This window comes from Homo sapiens, chromosome 14, assembly GCF_000001405.40.
Source record: "Homo sapiens chromosome 14, GRCh38.p14 Primary Assembly".
Taxonomy (NCBI): domain Eukaryota; kingdom Metazoa; phylum Chordata; class Mammalia; order Primates; family Hominidae; genus Homo; species Homo sapiens.
The window spans coordinates 47057517-47076413 of NC_000014.9; the positions used below are offsets into that span (position 1 = coordinate 47057517).

The following is an 18897-nucleotide window of genomic DNA, read 5'->3' on the forward strand; positions in this document are numbered from 1 at the left end:
GAAAGTAAGACAACCTATAATCACATATATCATAGTTTTTATCAATCAAATTCAAACTCCAAAACACATGAGGCCTCTCTTTTCTTCTTTCCTTTTCTTTCCCTCCTCTCCCCTCCCCTCCCCTCCTTTCCCCTCCCCTCCCCTCCTTTCCCCTCCCTTCTTCTCTCCTCTCCAATCTGCCTTGCCTTGCCTTACCTTGCCCTGCCCTACCTTGCCCTGCCCTGCCCTGCCTTGCCTTGCCTTGCCTTGCTTTTTTGAGACAGAGTCTTGGTCTGTCAACCAGGTTGAAGTGAAGTGGTACCATGATAGCTCACTGCAGCCTCAAACTTCTGGCCTAAAGGGATCCTCCTGAGTCAGCCTCCCAGATTGCTGGGATTACAGTGTGAGCCACCATGCCTGGCCCTAAACTGTCTTCTAAAATCAGATCATTGTCTTTTGAGAATATGAATAATTCTGTAAATTAGGATTTACTTCCCTGAAATATTTTGTATTTCAATTTTAAAAGTCATCAAAAACATATGTTGAAATGTGGCTCTGTCATTTAAGAAAAATGATTTTCTGTCTCAGGTAAAAATGCCTTGTGGTATCTCAGCCTCTACTTAAAAAATATCATTATATGACTCTTAAAACACAGTAACACTCAAATTGAATGATGAAGAATTAAAGAGAGAGGAAAAAGAAACAACAGAGTAACAATTGAGATTCGATGTAAGATTTTATATGAAAAACAAAAAGCTCAGAAATTTTCAAAATGTTTTAAAATGTCACCCTAAAATGCCTTATATTTAACATAAAGAAATGCTTAGCCCACAAGTCAGCTACTGACCATTTGGTCAATGCTCAATTTCTTATAATAGAAATACTAGCAAAACCAAGAATCTAACACATCACCACATATATATTTATGTCTTACATTGTTGCTTCCTTTTCTTTGACTCACTCATCCCATTTGTGTGAATTTCCTCAGTATCCTCCAGGGTTCATAAAATTGATATAATCCAAGATTTCCTTGTATGCTATAGCTTATTCATTTTCACTGTTCAAACTATATCCTAGAATACACCTATTTTCATATTAAAGCACTTTAGTCTTCAATAGTATTGGGATAAATATCATTTTAATGATGTCAGTTGAATCATACAATCTCAGATTTATAGAACTTTATACTGCATTCTAGTATTCCACTCTATTGTAAGCAAATTGGAACATCAAAGGTCAGTTTTGGCTTGAAGACAGAATATGTAATCATCTTCAGTAACTCATTCTTTAGGTTAGGCATCATCTTCTGTAGGCCTTCTATCACAATAAAATCTCCTAGGCCATCTAGCCTCAAGAGCCTGCCATCCGTGTAGCCACACTTAGAACAGCCCCAAATTTGCTTTAATGCTTTGATGTTGCCATAGTGAGTTTATTAATTTTTGAACAAGGGGCATGCATTTTTATTTTCACTGGACACCACAAATTGAGGAGCTGCTCCTGTCTTTGGGAGTGATAAAACATTAAGTCACTATAAATTTGTCTATCAAATAACTTTAAGTCAGTAGGGAATTACAATAAGGGCAGTAAGAGGCACAGCAAATGTCTATATTATAGAGACAATGGGAGGGGAGAAAACCTAAAATGAAAGGTGTATGCATAAATTAGTCATTTTGTTAGTTAATAATTATCTGTTTAGTACCTTCTATGTGCCATGTATTGTTTCGGCTATTGAGATTATAGCAATGAGTGATGCAGACAAAGTCTCAGACTTTGTAGAGCTTCCATTCTATGGAGAAACCACATCTATCTGTAGTTAAGTGGGTACTTTCCAGGGGTAGTGTTTTGGAAGAAGTCAATATATTTCTTTTATCTCCAATAGTGTTACCTTGGGTAGCCAGGCAAATTAATGATAGTTAGGAAAATTTAATGATTACAACCAATCTCTTATTACTAATCTTGAATTTTCTTTAAAGGATTGGTGGAAATTTCACAAATCAATGTTGGTCATCTTTACTATTTTGTCATATATAACACATAGTTTCAAACAGGCAATATAACTAGTATGTTTAAAAATAAATGTTAGGGCTCGTTTTGTGAGCCCTGTATATAATGCTGCTTTCTTGTCTCCATTCTGTGCTCCATCTTTTGTCTAAGTTTAATGGTATATAAACTGTGCTCCCATCAAAGGAGTTCTTTTAGATAAAAGCATTGATTCTTTGGATCTGAGCTTTGTGTCACTGGTTCTGTAAAGGAAACAAACAAAAAAAACCCAGCCAAACCAAACCAAACAAAGAAATGGTTTTGATTAAGTCTAGAACATTTATGGGAAACTATCCCTCAGAAAATGAGGACAAATTATCCTGGATCTACAAAATTTGCTCTTACTCTCTTACAGGAAATATTATATTGGAATGTCATACAGTACAGTGTACAGTGTCACCTAGCACACTGAGGTGAAGAATCAATGGATATTTGTTGATTGAATGAATACATAAACAAGTGATAACTGACTGTGTGTATCAACAGTTTTCCCTCAGATATCCTAAAATAATCCATCTCTTAGCGCTAGCACCAACGTTTAAATATGTTAGAATTTTTTTAAAAATGTTTTTATTGTCTCTAGCTTTTTTTTAAGCTAGAAAAGAAATAATGTCCAAACACAAGTACTTTTCATCACCCTAATTTCCTTTTGTTTTAGTGATAGATGATAAAAATTGAATATCTTCTAGGAACAAAGCACAATTGTGCAAAGTTAGCACATTTTTGTTAGCCTGAATCATAAACTTCTATTCTTAAGGAGTAAAATCAATCCAGTGTTCACTGCAATTTGGAACCATGAGAAGGCACAAAATTATAGGTGAATACTTCAAAGTACAAGATACAAAACGCTGCCTGATCATGTGTCTACTACATTTGTCTCTATGTTTTCAACACATATTATTTATCTTTCATGATGTAAGAATCTTCCATTAAAATTCAATTTGGTAACAAGCTGGCAAAACAAATACAGCTACTTTGAAACTCTGGATGTGTGCTGATTGTGCCTCATAGAATCACAGGGCTTTAAAGCATCTGAATGAACCCTCCTCCACCAAATCCCTGTAATTTTCCTTGTCAACAGATGTACATTTAATCAAGAAAAAACTAATAACATGTTTTCGTTTTTAACTTTAAAAGAAAGAATTTCACTCCAATATATTTTCGTACTTAACTATTTTCATTATGAACAGATTTTACCATATGATTCTGCAAAAAAATCACATCTGACTACAACTTTAACATATCAATTTTTGTTAGTGTAGGGTACATTTCTTACATATTTTGCATTTGAACACTCTTAAATTATCTCTCAGTATTTTCTTCTTAGCACTATATAGTTATGCTTTGTTTAAAATTTCTGAAAATTGTCTTAACTCTAGACATTTGTTGTTTAATTTTATTAATATAATTTTAGACTCTTCAGAGTATTTTGATGAAATACTAGTATTATTTAACTTATAAGCCTATATCTATCTTAGTCAATGCTATTAATTTTATTTGGATAATTTCTGTAAAATCTTATGTAAATCTAAATCAAAACTGATAAAACAGTGTTTCAGAACCTAGTATTCATTGAGCATTCAGAACATTATAATTTTGTTTTTAGGAAACTTAAAAGGGAAAAAATATTTTTAACTAAAACCTACTTGATCTGTTAAACTTCAATCATTCTAAATGTGAACATCTTTTACATCATAAATATATGCCTCTTACCTGTGCTGCTGGATATATTAACATCGATACTGATATCAGATATTCCTCCTCCCTTCAGAGATGCTACACATGTGTACGTCCCAAAATCCGTGAATTTTAAATCAATGATGTCCAAGTTTGTTGTTCCCGGAGAGACATCAGGATCAGTCTGTGTAATGACCATCCGCTCAGAACTTCTTAATGGACGACCATTTTTAAACCAACTAAATGTTAGCTCCTCAGAAGGAACAGCTTCTACTTGGCAAGATATTTTCACCTCACGGCCAATCTGGATGTTGTCATCTTTGTGATAAGGATCTGGTGTGATCCAAAATCGTCCTTTTTTTAATGCTACAACATAAAAATTCCATAAGGAGTTAGTGTTACTTTCATAACTTTAAGGATTCATTAACTGTAGATAATCATCTCTGAGCTGAAATAAAGTAAAACCAAATAAAGTGTACATATATTTCTTTTTTATATCCAAGTTGTGTGTACATCAAAAAACCTCATGCAGGTACCCAGAAATAATCTAAAAAAATCTAAGTCAATTAAAGACTGTGAACACTGATTTTTATAAATTTGGTAAGATTTTCCAGTGATATCAAAAGTAATGCCTTAAGTCTATGTGCAATTATACTTAAATATTGACATTGAATTTTGAACAAATGACAGATTCTATGTAGTCATAGCATATTAAAATTAAAAGTAAGAATATGGATCTCATTTAACCTAATACTTTCCCTATGTCACTACTTAGTTATTGTATAATTTTCCAAACAACTCAAATATTACACAAAGGACATAAGAACATTCTCCTAAGGTTGTATCTATATGTTGATCAACACTAGTTCGGTAATATTTGAGTCCATTCACATTCATGAAACATTTTCATATATTGAAATAATCTGAACTGAAAAAGAAAACCTGGGGCAAAAAGCATGTTCAAAACATTTACTATGAACTTTTCTATTCTACCATACATAGATGTTTCCAGTTAAAACTGTTTGTTGGCTCTCTAATGCGGATGACCAAAAGAACCTCTCCACAGACAGCTTAGAAAACAGGTTTGTATGCTAACAGAAATGTTTTCCAGGTCTAAAGGCAGTGCTGTTTTCACAAGAGGTCAGTAGTAATGACTACCAAAAGGCTGCCAAGGGAGCATCTATAGACTTTCTACTAAGGGCCTGAACTTTGAATGATACCACAATACTCAATATGGAAAAGCTTTCTCTCTTTTGTGACAGTGATTCTCTTATACACAGATTTTTCTTTTTTTTTTTTTTCATCATCTTCCCCATTTCCCTCTCCTTTAAAATGACTATCCCTACATGACAAAATGTGGCATACACAGTGAAACACAATTATCAGGATAAAATATTGGTCATCCACTTTTAACATTAAGCCTAAATATGTAATGATATTGTCAAAAATGCCATGAATTTAGAGGACCTACAGACACTAGAAGGCTGCTAACAGCATTCTGGATAGCCCCTCCTTAGTTTAACCATATTTTTGTCAGTTAGTCCAATAAAAACCAGTAAGCACTATAAAAATCTATAGAATCATGCAGAATGAACTAGAGATAAATATACTTTTAAGTCTTAAAAACTTTTCTAAGTTTTAAAACTCTTTAGCCTCAAATATTTTCATCTGCTTTCTTGTTGGCATCTCAATAGGAAGATATACATAGATATCAAAAACAATGTTTGTGTCTTTCTTTTTCATTTAAGATATATTTGAAGGGCTCCTCCTCAAGACTAGCCACTAGGCTGGGTTCTGACTACAGGACATGAACAAAATAGACATAACCATGGCCCTCATGTACTGCAGCCTGCATATTCATAGATTAGAGGCCAACTTATTCACACAACATTTATGATACTTATGTCTAGAAAAACCACAGACATATATAGCGATGAAATATTTTATATGCCTGAAGAAGTTTCAATCTCAGAGGACAGCCTCCCTGAATTACTGTTTAGAAAATGCACTAAGTTTTAATCTTAATGAAAACATGAGAAGACAAATACTTAAATCACATTCTCATACTGTCATTTGTTACATTTTTCCATAATAAAATGCAACTTATGAATCTTATTTACCCCTAACCATATCTTTATCAGTAAGTTACTCTAGGGTGAAATTAGGATACATTTTGGTATTCTGTTACCTAGAATCATATATTCATATTTTCACAGGCACTGACCTATGACTTTACATTGTATTTGGGAAGGGAAATGTGATGAAATGTCCATATCTGGCTGCCATATTTGGTATATAATAATTGTGCTCATACAATGCCAATGTAATTGAAGTTTTACAGTACAAAGCAAATCATATGAGTATAAAATATATTTTCTGTTAAAAACAGATGTAAAATTTAATGTCAAGAGCATTTACTTTTATTAGCACCATAACAGTTAAATGAGAGTTTCCCTTCATTTGCTAAGAATTTTCTTTATCCTGTTTTTAAAGAGAAATTTTAAGATTACAATTTTGAAAGTTTTATTATTGCATATAATAATTTATTAATAACCATATGACTAATATCAGGGTTCATATGGGATATCTTTTAGAATAGTTTTCATTACAAAGATATATGTTGGTTGCATATGTAAACACACACAAAACTGAGATGTTTAAGTGGTTGTCATTTATTTACCATGCAGCTATTGTTTTCCACTTCTGTGCTCTGCATAGTGACATATTAAAGTGATATTGAGAGAACTGCAATCTTACCAGCCAAATTAGATTTAAAATACTAAACAACTCAAAAAATACTGATAAAAATATGAAATCAGTATCTGTATTATGTTATAGAATATTTATTCATAAAAACAACTTTAAAACCCAAAGAAAAAATATTAGAGATTATAAACCCATAATCAATTAATACATAAGATTATATGTAATATACAATTAGACAAATTAATAAAAAGCAATATAATCAAGCATGCTTTTAAGAGTGAACTCATAGCGAAAAACATTGGTGAATCTTAGTTATCAGATAATTCTATGATTTGGCCTAAGTCAATTGTACTAGTCTTCTGAATGACACAGAATCTAAAGGGAAAAAGAGAAACAAGTCTGCTAAGTGAGCTCAAGTTAAGGAACATCAGAATAAGTAACAGATTATTTAATAGAGAGTCATTTCTGTTTATGTTGTCCCTCTAACAAAATAACATAACTGGTTTTGCATACAAAAAAGAAATGTTCAGATAAAAGGTGTGTGTGCGTGTACTCATATATAGTAACAGAGGACAGAGAAATTTTGTTTTCTTACTTAGCTCAGAAAACTAAGAGCATAGCTCTGTAAACTAGGTCTGGGTACATTGAGAATTTGCAACCTAATTCCAGTTTTTCATGTCTACGTGGTCCAAGATGGGCAATCTAATTTTTATGGATCAAGTGCATCATTTATGAAAATAGAAGGTGATAGAGTTAGGCTCCCTTAGAGACACATTGTGAGAAATAGCTTATTAACAATTGTGCCTGAGTTTTGAAAATATAAAGTGTTTGATGTAGTTAATCAACTGGGCAGCAGGTTCCTTCGTTTATAATTAAACGCTCTCTTTTTCCGTGAACAATTTATAGTAGCTCATGTAATGTTAATTTAAAGTCATTTCCTGCTACCAGTTAAGATTTTAAACTCTTAAAATCAATCTGTAATTAGTACTGGAGTATAACAGAGGTCCAATAGACTTATTGAGACTCTATAGAACTAAACAAATTCTATGGAAAAAGGATAGCAGAAATCCCTTTCCCCAAATGCAATTTCTCAGTCTGAATATTGAAAATCCCCTAACACCAGCCTGAGAGAACATTAGATTTGGCTTAATGTATCATAAATCGTGATAGATGAACCTTAAAAGGTACTTGTTTAGTCTGGCAGTGCATGTAAAAGATTGGCATCAAGCTGAACCTCTGTTCTGGATAATCAGTTTGGAAACATTGCAATGTAACTATAGCCTCCCTTTTTTAATATTGTGAATTGAATACAGGCTTGGCCTATATTCACTTTTTAACAGTATACTTGCAAGGACATTCTAATTGCACTTACTGAAATCCCTCTTCTTCAGGCTACACAGATGTGCTGTGTAAATGGAGTGAAACCCAAGTATTGAAACAGAGGCTACTCACTGCAAAAATTTGGGTAGGGTTTGTTGCTCACCTTCCCTAGAAATAAGAGTCCATGCCTGTGAATGTGAATGTCAATGGTTCAATGGAAGACTCCTGTTATGTAAAACTAGATTACATCTTGAGCATAGGCTTGAAAGAGGGAACATTGCCTTCAGAGAAGTCTAGGCTTGTGGTTTCCACAAAGAGGAGGCTGTGAGATTGTATCTTGATTGTAGTTTTAGATTTAAAATTATAACGTACATTGTTTTGTTGGTCAAATGTTCCATGAAGTATGCAATACATAGTAATTCAATAATAAACTAAAATTTATTGACAGAACAAAAAAAGACAACAGTCTTATACTTTAATGTGAAAAGCATCTCTTTGGAGATAATAAATATGAGGTGTCAGCTTTTTAGCTTCTGTTAAGTATCTATTTCAGAAGAATGTAAGATACAGAGTGACCACTGATCACCATTTCAGGTTGATAAATTGCTGAAAAGACTCTCTAAATCGATTATGTTTTATAATCAGGTTGTAGGATTCTGGACAACCTAAAGGACTGACAAAACCTTGTTGAGATCTGGATATAGAAACCATTAATAGTGCAATCAGATAAATAAAAATCAATTTCCTATTTATTCTTTGCTGAAGAGAATAAAAATATCTATGTGTGAAAGATGAAGTATTTTCCTGACCCACTGAATGCCAATTAAATAAGCAGTTGGAAATAGGTTACATCAGCAAAGCAACTTAAAAGATAGTAAACGATAGTATGTATAATCTGTCCTACTATAACTAGGAACCTATCTTTCTCCTCAATAGGGCTGTGAACACCTGGGGTTGGAGTGGGTACACCTTACTCTTCTTCATTGCCCCCAAATCCTGAATATGGTGCATTGTTAAAGTTGGTACTTAATACTCTTTATTGAATTTAATTATAATTGACATTTCAAAGCATTAACTTTACAAATGCCAATTGTTTCCATTCAGTATGGTAAGTTCCTGTTAATTTTGATTTTGTGTTGCAGTCTTGTGTTCTGAGATGCATCTGGGGAAATAGAATAGGAAAAAGAACAGATTTGATGTCCTCAAGGATTCAGTGATTTTGTTGTGGGAACAGAATAACACTTGATGAACAAACAGCATCAACATGGGAATATATGTGAGGAAGAGAATTCTGTACACAACACAAGAAACCTCATTCTAGCACATCCACTGACTAGTTAGCTATGTGTATGGGACATCGGCTATCAGACAACTCTCTTTGTAAAGGAGGATTTCATCCAAAAGGGCTTGTTTATATGCTTCAGATAATAATCATTTCTGAGCAAATATGGATAATTACTCAACTGATAATCAGTTGATAATCTGAAGATGGAAGAAGGAAAAAAAAAACTGACATCTACGCACATTTACATTGTCTGAAATAGTATTTGCTAAAACCTGTTTCAGAAAATGGTTAATGAGGTTACATTAAAACAAAGTGTAGGCCAGGTGTAGTGGCTCATGCCTGCACTTTGGGAGGCTGAGACGGGCAGAGAACCTGAGGTCAGGATTTCAAAACCAGTCTGTCCAACACAGTGAAACCCCATCTCTACTAAAAATACAAAAAATTAGCTAGGCGTGGTGGCAGGCGCCTGTAATCCCAGCTACTTGGGAGGCTTAGGCAGGAGAAACTCTTGAACCCGGGAACCGGAGGTTGCAGTGAGCCAAGATCAGGCCACTGCACTCCAGCCTGGACAACAAGAGCAAAACTCCACCACAAACAAAGAAACAAACAACCAACCAAAGTGTAACAAATAAAGTTTGAAAATTGACTATATGAAAAAAAGTTCGTATTTCTCCCAAACTTTTCAGAGCTTTGAACATGCTAACATGCAAATTGTCACATTACTGGAGAGGCTGATTGCATCTACCAAGGGGGAACATCTCTGAGGACTAGCATCCCAGAGAATAAAGTTTGGGAAACAATGACCTAAGAAAATCTGCCAGTCGAAGAGAATCATTGAAAAGACTGTAAAATTAGATTCCATTCTTAATATTGTAGGCATTTCCCTTATGAGCATCACGAAATAATCAGCAAGGTGTGACTCTCTAGTGAAAATAATATTTATTATTTAAAAAGCTAAAGGGCTTGGGAATGATCTTAATTTTTTAAGTTAATAAGTAATGGTACATTGAAGTTATAAAAATATATTTCAGATTCATCTAATAAACTCACCTACACTAAGAGCCGCGTGCCTCTTTCTTTCCAACCAACAATTTAGAAAACAAAATTAACTTACCAGTTTGTTCCTGTCTCTGAAATGTACATTTTGCAATATGCAAACAGCATTAAAGAGGAGTTAAATGCATCAGCTTTTGTACAACTCTAAGCACTGATATGAACAAGACTTAATCTTTCTCATTTGCTTGAAGAAATAATAATTTGAGTTAATTTATTTATATCTTATGTTATTATAAAAAGTATATGCAGTGTTAGTCTTAAAAGTATTAAAGATTCTGGAAAATGGATATGAGCAGGGAGGTCTTTTAAATTTTTTTCTCTGATATGCTATTAAGTATTCTTATACTCACTTCTCTGTATCTAACAACTCCATTTGCCAATCTAGTCTGAATGGAAGTTCATTAATAATGCAAGAACAAAAATACGTTACACCCTTCCTGAAAGTGGTTTAACATAGCACCCCTGATAATCTAAATGTAGAGTCAGACGATGAAATGAAGTTGGGGTTCTATTTAATTGTAAAGTATCAAGGCTCTATTTATTTTGTGAATTTACTCAAAGCTAATTAGTACAGTTAATCATTTGAATTGTTTAAGCATAGTATGGTTGAATTATAAATGTCTCTTGAATATCCTTTCTCAATAGAACATCAGCAGGTAAGCATTTTGGGTAAGAATTAGAGAAAGAAAGGACGTTTTAGGCAGGCACAATGTACTCTTTTTGGGGTAAATTCTTCTTAAGAAGGGGGAAAAAGTGAACTAAAATAATAACATAATTATTATCATTATTATTTTGCCATTCCTACCATTTTAATCCTATTTTAAGTAAGAAAAAAAAAATATATATATATATATTGCTGATAAATTACCAAAATGTCTTTATCGGTGTCATAAATGAAAACATTTACATGTGGCTACCATGTAAATGGTATCTGAATTAGCATGATACCTTAGCACCAGTTATTTGAATAGAAGATTATTACTTTGCTGGCCCTATAATGTTAAAAATTAGTGGGTATTTTGAGCTCACCTTTTCTATCAAATTTAATAATACTTTTTCACTATGAGAAATGAGAATGTGTTCAGGTATATTATACTTTTTATTAGTTGCTAAAGACCTAGGACTAGAAACAGCTATCAGATGAGTGGCAGTTTAGAAAGATTGGTACAAAATATAATTCATTTGAAATCCTTTTGAAAATAGTACATCCTTAATATTTATGAAATTGATCATGTAGTTGTGAAAATTAGATGAGATAATGAGACTAACTTAATCTAAAATCTTTCGTTACCTTTCTTGAGCTTTTTTGTTTTCTGTCTCGTAAGCGGTGCCCTTTCCCTTTCCAAAGTGATTCTGCCCCTTCTGCCAACCTCTCTCACAGTATCCTGAGGTCCTACATCCAGTTGGCCACTTCTTTTGAAATATCAGTATTTCCTCTTCCATACTGTATTCTCTCAGACTGAAACTTGTTTAGGTCACTTCTAAACTTAAAACACTTCTCTTAACCCCAATAATCCCTCAAACCATTTGTGGCATATTGCTTGATAAAATGGTGAAATACCAGTTGCACTCACTCACTAGGATACTTTATGTGCTGGGTTTCACTGATGCTACTCTGGCAGTGAGGGCTCAAAGATTAGTAATGATCTCCTAATCAATTAATCCAATATTTTCTAGTTCCCATTCATGTTTGTATTATTTACACTTTCCACTTCGTGTCACTTTACATTATTGGCTCTTCTTTCTTGAACATCTCTTTTATACTGGCCTCTATAACTGGTAGGATATAACGTTTAAGAAAATAAATTCATGGACTGTTCTCATTCACATCACAATTGTCATGACAGTCTCCCTGGTTCATTTGAGTTCTATCATTTGAACAGTTCATTTGAGTTCTATCTATCACTTGAACAGTTCTAACATTCGAAAATAAATTAGTGGACTGTTCTCATTCACATCACAATTGTCATGACATTGTCCCAGTTCTATCATTCAAACAGCAGTTGTAAAGTCAGGTTTGTTGAGAAAGGTAGGATTTTTCTAAATCATTTTGCCGTAATTAGAAGCCATGGAGTTTTCCCTTGATGTTCTCTTTCCTTTTGCTGCCCATGTTAGAACATGAGATAGTTGTCTGTTTGTTTTGTTTCTTGAGATGTAGAATATTGCAACCAGATCCATGCATATTTCAATTTAAAAGAAAAATGTGTTAAAATCATTTAAATATATGTTTTCATTTTAACACTACAGACCAAATAAAATAACTTAGATATACTGAATGACTAAATGAGAAATATCTTTAATTACTAACAATTTATGTAAATTATCTTAATTGCCTTATCTGGTAAGAAGATGAAGAGTGAATACTATTGACCTGGCGCATCTAACCATTCCCCCTATTTTAACTAAACTTTAGATAGATTTATTTCTTTTTCTTTTTTTGGGTGGGGTGGGGTTATCCATCCCTTCAAGCATTTATCCTTTGTGTTACAATCCAATTATATGCTTTGTTATTTTTAAATGTACAATTAAATAATCATAATTGACTATAGTCACCCTGTTGTGCTATCAAATACTAGGTCATATTCGTCCTTTATAACTATTTTTTATACCAACTAACCATGCCCACCTTCCTCCCCCAATCCCACCCCTGTTCCGGTAATCATCCTTCTATTCTGTTACATAGATTTATTTTTTACTATAGGCCCCTGGTCCTCATTTTCATACAGCATTTACACGACAAAACTTGAAAATTTAGAGAAATTGTAAATTCTTCCTCTGCTCCATCGAGTTGTAAATAATCTGAAACTCAAAAATGTCTTTCTCAAGTATGTGGGAGCCATCCCTTTGAAATATAATAGTCATCTTTGAAGTTCCTGAGACATTGCCCCTATCTCCCATTCTCTGTAGAGGGTAAGAGCCTAGAGCCTAACTCTGAAATGTGAAAAGAGACAAACAGCAAAGACAGATGTTTTAATCACATTGACCAACCTCTCCCATAAAGTCTTCCAGTACTTTTTTTTTATTATTTTATTTATTTATTTATTTTTACATAGTCTCGTTCTGTCACCCAGGCTGGAGTGCAGTGGTGTGATCTTGGCTCACTGCAACCTCTGCCTCCTGGGTTCAAGCAATTCTCCCACCTCAGCTTCCCAAGTAGCTGAGACTACAGGCATGTGCCATCAAGCCTAGCTAATTTTTGTATTTTTTTGGTAGAGACTGGGTTTCACCATGTTGGCCAGGCTGGTCTCAAACTCCTGACCTCAGGTGATCCGCCTGCCTCGGCCTTCCGAAGTGCTGGGATTACAGGTGTGAACCACCGCACCCAGCCTATTCCAGTACTTCCTATTAGTTCACCCAGCATTTAAAAATCCTCCTGCTTTTATTACATCTGAGTTGAGTTAAATCTCTCTCCCCACATGGGAATGGTTTTAAATATTCCTTGCCATTTTTAACAAGCATCCAATGTAATTTTTCTTTCACAACATTAAATTTAGTCATGTGCATTATTAAAATAGATGAAAATAGGATCAGTCTAGGGAATTCGTTGCTACAAAATTTCAAATGTCAAAGAAATACTTATGGTTACAACACACACACACCCCAGTATGTTGCTCAAAGATGGAATGTCATGTAAGTACGAGAGTATTTGAGAGTTAAAGAGGTTAATTTAATCCCTTTATAAAGCTATCTTCTCCAATGTGGTAAGCTCTGTTTAATCTTTAATGCCCTGCAGGTATAGAGTTTCTGATAATAAACCACAAAACAAAGATCCGGATGTGTTGGTTAATTAAAAGATGGCAGGGTGCTGAGGTGTGAAGAGACTCAAAACTAAATAAATTTAATATGCTATAATATGTTATATGTATTATAAATAGAAATGTATAATCTTTCCTTTTTGAAAAAGTATACCCTACCTTTCCTTAGGTGTGTTTAAAGTATATTTTTAAAATACATACTATAGTGTCTGTGGGTTTTTTTTTTCTCTTTTTAATGAGAAAATTCTATCAAACAAGCAAATAAGTCAAAATGCTGGTGGTATAGACATACTTTTCCATCCTGTACAATTGTTTGTTGAGCCATTTAATTGGCTTTACTCTTTACAGGAAGAAAGGCAAAGAGGGAAATACTAATTTCACAATTCACAGTATCTGGGACGTAAAAATACTCCAATTCCTCAAATAAACAACAAACAAAAATTACTATTCCTGTTTCAGAGATCTGAATCAAATGTATTTTCTGCACCTGCATAAAGGAGACATGAAACAAGCAGCATTTTTACCCACTTCTTTATAGTGATCATAACAATAAAATTCACAATCCTAGTTGTCAATCTATACCTCAAGGTGAGCTAACTACTGTAACTTTATACAGGAACCAAAGGAGTCTGTCACCATCGTATAGTTGTTCAGGCTCAATTTAAGGAAAAATTCAAAGACATTGTCTGGGTAAATATTAAACAAGAGTGAATACAAGTTTATATTCTACGAAAATGACCCAGGAAGTTTGTTGGTTGTTGTTGTTTGGGGGGGGGGGGGTTTGCAGGTATTATATGTTGCAGGTACATGAAAATGTATTCATTAATAGTTAACTGATAAGAAATAAGAGTCACACGTTCTAAGAAAGGAGAAAAGCCAAACTAGGACCTAGACTCTGTAGTGAGGTAGATAGAAGAATACATGTGGATAGAGACATTATAGAAAGCTTATATTGTACCTATACACAGTGAAAATACAATTTTTTAAGTGCAAAATCTGTGAGCACCTCAAGAAAATATTTTGCGTTCAATTGTTTGCATTTCTTAGAGACTTGTTGGATATAAGTCAGTCTAATGTTAAGACACATCTAAGAGAAACAATGACTATTATGTTGGAGGAGTTGATCTAAATTCATTCTTAAGGAAAATGAGTTGATGATAAGACCAGTAATTCACTGAAGTTATTTCTACTTTTTGAAAGTGAAACTATGATAGTGATAGTTTAAAGTATTGGTTCTCCAAGTATGAACCCTAGTCCAATATCAGCAGCATCACCTGAGAATTTGTTAGAAAGGCAAGTTATTGGATGACACCCCAGGCCCAATCCTCAGGTTTTGGTATAGAGTCCAGCCATCTGCATTTTAACAACCCCTCTGAGTGATTCTGATATACTCTCGGGTTTGAGAGCCTCTGTTATTGAAAAAGTTTATGCTGCCATCCTTTAGAAATACAGGGCTCGAACAGAGAAGGCAGGTCATCAGCTCACCCAGAAGGATTATTGAGATATTAAGGCACAAACTAAAAAGTGCCATAGCATATCTTTTTACTTTGCAGGATCTTCAAAAGCCTGTTAATCCTAATTATAACATTTGAAATGTTATTTAAACGTAACTCCCATAAGTATCAATAACAAAAGAGTCTAACCTGATCTCACATAGATTAACATGGAACTACTTCCTTTCCACATGGCCAAAGCTTGAGAAAAGTTTCACAAAAACACTTATTATTTCCAGATCTCTTCAGAAGATGATAAAAATGTTGAGGGCTCAATATTAAGCACCTTAAAGTCAACCTTCTTTACCTACGAATTTCTAACACTGAGTATTAAGAATGTAACCAACTATCATGAGGGAATATCTAAATACCTGATATGGTCATAATTTAAGGGTAAGCGATTAATAGCCTATTAAGTTTTTGGTGAGTGGCAATGGTTTCTGGGAGAGTCAATATAGAAAACAGTGAAGAGCAAGTATTCTGAGGTCAGACTGCCTGGTTCTAATATGATTTCATCATTTATTGGCAGTGTAATGTTGTACGGTTAGCTCTATAGAGCCTCAATCTCCCAAATCTGTAAAATGGTAGTAATTATGAAGCATACAATTGATCCATGAAACTCTGAGTATGCTAGTTCCAACACAGAATATCCAAACACTAGATGTGAGCTGCTTTTTATTCCGTATTTCTGAGCACTCACAGCATGTCTATCACTATTCTTTCTGCCAAAGGTGCACAGATGAAGAGCCTAGTGATGGGGAAAAGTATAGAAACCAAAAATTTGATAAAGACAAAGACTGACAGTATTTTATTATAAGACAACTCATTATTGTGAAAGGGTAAGAGAAGACTTCATGTATTTGGTGGTGCCTGAGAATTCGGGGATAAAAGGAAGGCAGACAGTTAAAGATGCTGAAAGGTCATTCCAGAGAGTGGCAGCTTCATGGGTACTGGAATAGGAATTCGTACTGTGCCAACTTTTGGTTTTAGCTTAGCTTTCAATCACTCTAGACAATCCTCTCACGTTCCTTCAAAATGTGTTTCTCTATAATTTCAAACATTCGCTTTCATTTCCCACCTGTCTCTGAGGATGCCGGGTTGATCTTTCTAAAGCTGACCTCTTAAATTGTGCTCCTGAACTCAGCTCCAGCTTTGCATTGAATATCACTCACACATCATCAATTTTCTCTTAAAATTTTTCCTCACAGTAAAGTCTTTCCCATGTATTTATGAACATGATCATAATTAAATTAGCATGATCATAATTAAATAATTAATGATTAATTAATTTAATTAATCATTAATTAAAACAAAGCAACAACAACTAATATAATACAGAAAGTCTTTCCTCAACTTCTTTATCTTCTGAAGCTATTTCTTATTTACTCTCTTTTTATTTCTCACTCTCAAGATAGTAATATATAAATCACTCACTTTTAACCTCTCAATAGTTTTGATTCTCACCAGTAACAGAACTTTTTTTTTTTTTTGAACGTGGAGTCTCGCTCTGTCACCCAGGCTGGAGTGCAGTGCGGTGGCGCGATCTCGGCTCACTGCAAGCTCCGACTTCACGCCATTCTCCTGCCTCAGCCTCCCGAGTAGCTGGGACTATACAGGCACCCGCCACCACGCCCGGCTAATTTTTTCTATTTTTAGTTGAGACGGGGTTTCACCGTGTTAGCCAGGATGGTCTCGATCTCCTGACCTCGTGATCCGCCCGCTTCGCCCTCCCAGAGTGCTGGGATTACAGGCGTGAGCCACCGCGCCCAGCCCAGAACTTTTAACAATTGCCAGGGAGAATATGTTCTGAGGAGCAGCAGCTCAGTCCAAACTCCTGCTGCATTTGCTGTATACAACCTATTCTGACCTTTTGTTTATAGCTCCCAGACCAATTATACTTCCATTTCCTTTGTCCTGAATCTGGGCACCTCTTGTCTCCTCTCCGTCTACACTATCACTTCTTCACAGCTTGCTTTTACATCCATAGTCTGTATCTCAGCACAGGTCCCACTTTAGTAAAACCCTCTGTTCTCAACTCTCTGAGATACAGTTGCTTATTTCCCATTGTCCGCTCGATTTTTATGTGATGCAGCACTTCAATCAATGTTCCTCAATTAAATTTCTTATATCACTACTTTAAGGTATGTCTGATCTTTTTTTTCCTTCTCACTCTTTCATTTATGACACATTCTCCACATAATCAAACCTTTCCCCGCATTTCCTTTACTCTTTTCAGTCTCCCAGAATGTGCCCTTACTGTTGGATTTGCCTTGTATGACATCTTGTCCATGCTCTCTGTCCACATTGGATTCAGTCACTGAAGCCCAGATCTAATGTCATCTTTTTTGTAATGCTTTCCCCAATTCATGTAATGAGTCTGAAGAATTGCCACTATTCTTTGTCTATAAGAAAACTCTCTTCCAGATATTTTGTATTCTCTGGACTCTCAAGCTTCCTGAAAACAGAGGTACTTCATATTGCTGTCTTCCTGAGCACCCTCACTTCCACAAAGTAAGTTGTCACAGCACTTAGGTTGGTGACATGGAAGATACAACACCTGTAAAGCTTTTCATCCAGAGGGGACATATCTGAAGCTATTACCAAGTAGTCATCAGATTGATTGTTGTCACCTAATCATTAACCTGAACAAATTTGTTCCATTTTGTCAATTATCAGACAACTGACAAAATTTGAATAATGGGCTATCAATGAAATCGTATTTTGTCAAGATAAAATTTCCATATTTTAATAACTATACTGTGGTTATACAGGAAATGCTCACTGAAGTGTTTTGTGTAAAGAGGCACTATATCACCAAGCTACTCTCAAAGGACTCATAAAACATTTATACACATTTATATAAAGAATGATAAAGTAAATAGAAAAACTCAACTAATAGCAAAGCTGGGTAAAGGCTATATATGAGAGTTCTTTGTACTATTCTTGATATTTAAAAAATTTTTTCTTAAGAAGTTGAGAAATTAATATTAAAAAATCAGCTGGTTTATTGTTATTTATATCCACAGACACAAAATCTGTACCCTCCAGTGATAACAGTGGACTATGCATTTTTACATTTCTAGATTATCCTCCTCCTATTAAACTATTCTCCTCGAATTAAGCTAAACATTTATGACCCTTTGAAAACTATCACCAATATAAAAATTAGTATCGAATACTCACAAAAAAACCCAAAGAATAACTAACAAATAAAACTAGTGAAGAAAACTGACTTTTACTCAATAAAATATTTGTCAAGGAAATAAATTAATCCTTCTTATACAAATGGGTACGATTAGTGATGGTGCCTGATAAATACTATATGCTTTTTGTAAACTACTACTCAAAATCTCATAGAAACTTGTACAATATTTTTTAAGTTTAATTATAACAGATGAACTGTCTTTCCAAAAAACATGCAGAGGAAAAAAAACTTAATACTCTTTAACATTAACTTTCTAGATATTTTGAAAAAAACAAAAATATAAAATGTGGAGCCATCCAATATATACCATATGTAATATTTTTCATTAATATTCATAATTTCTTGCGGTTAAAAATCAAAATGACACATTTTTCTTAACAT

General features: G+C 34.1%; 1 protein-coding gene across 12 annotated transcripts in view; it reads right to left on the reverse strand.

Annotated features, from left to right (window-relative positions):
• MDGA2 (MAM domain containing glycosylphosphatidylinositol anchor 2) overlaps positions 1-18897 on the reverse strand; it is an 835983-nt gene that overhangs the window by 217894 nt on the left and 599192 nt on the right. For 10 of the 12 annotated variants that reach the window (XM_011536519.3, NM_182830.4, XM_047431048.1 and 7 more), the window contains one exon: positions 3733-4062. In XM_011536519.3, the coding sequence (XP_011534821.1) occupies positions 3733-4062 (330 nt within the window). Of the gene's footprint in view, positions 1-1100; positions 1481-1678; positions 1865-3732; positions 4063-18897 lie in introns of those variants that run through there. The other 2 variants (NR_103766.2, XM_011536525.3) reach the window with 2 other exon arrangements.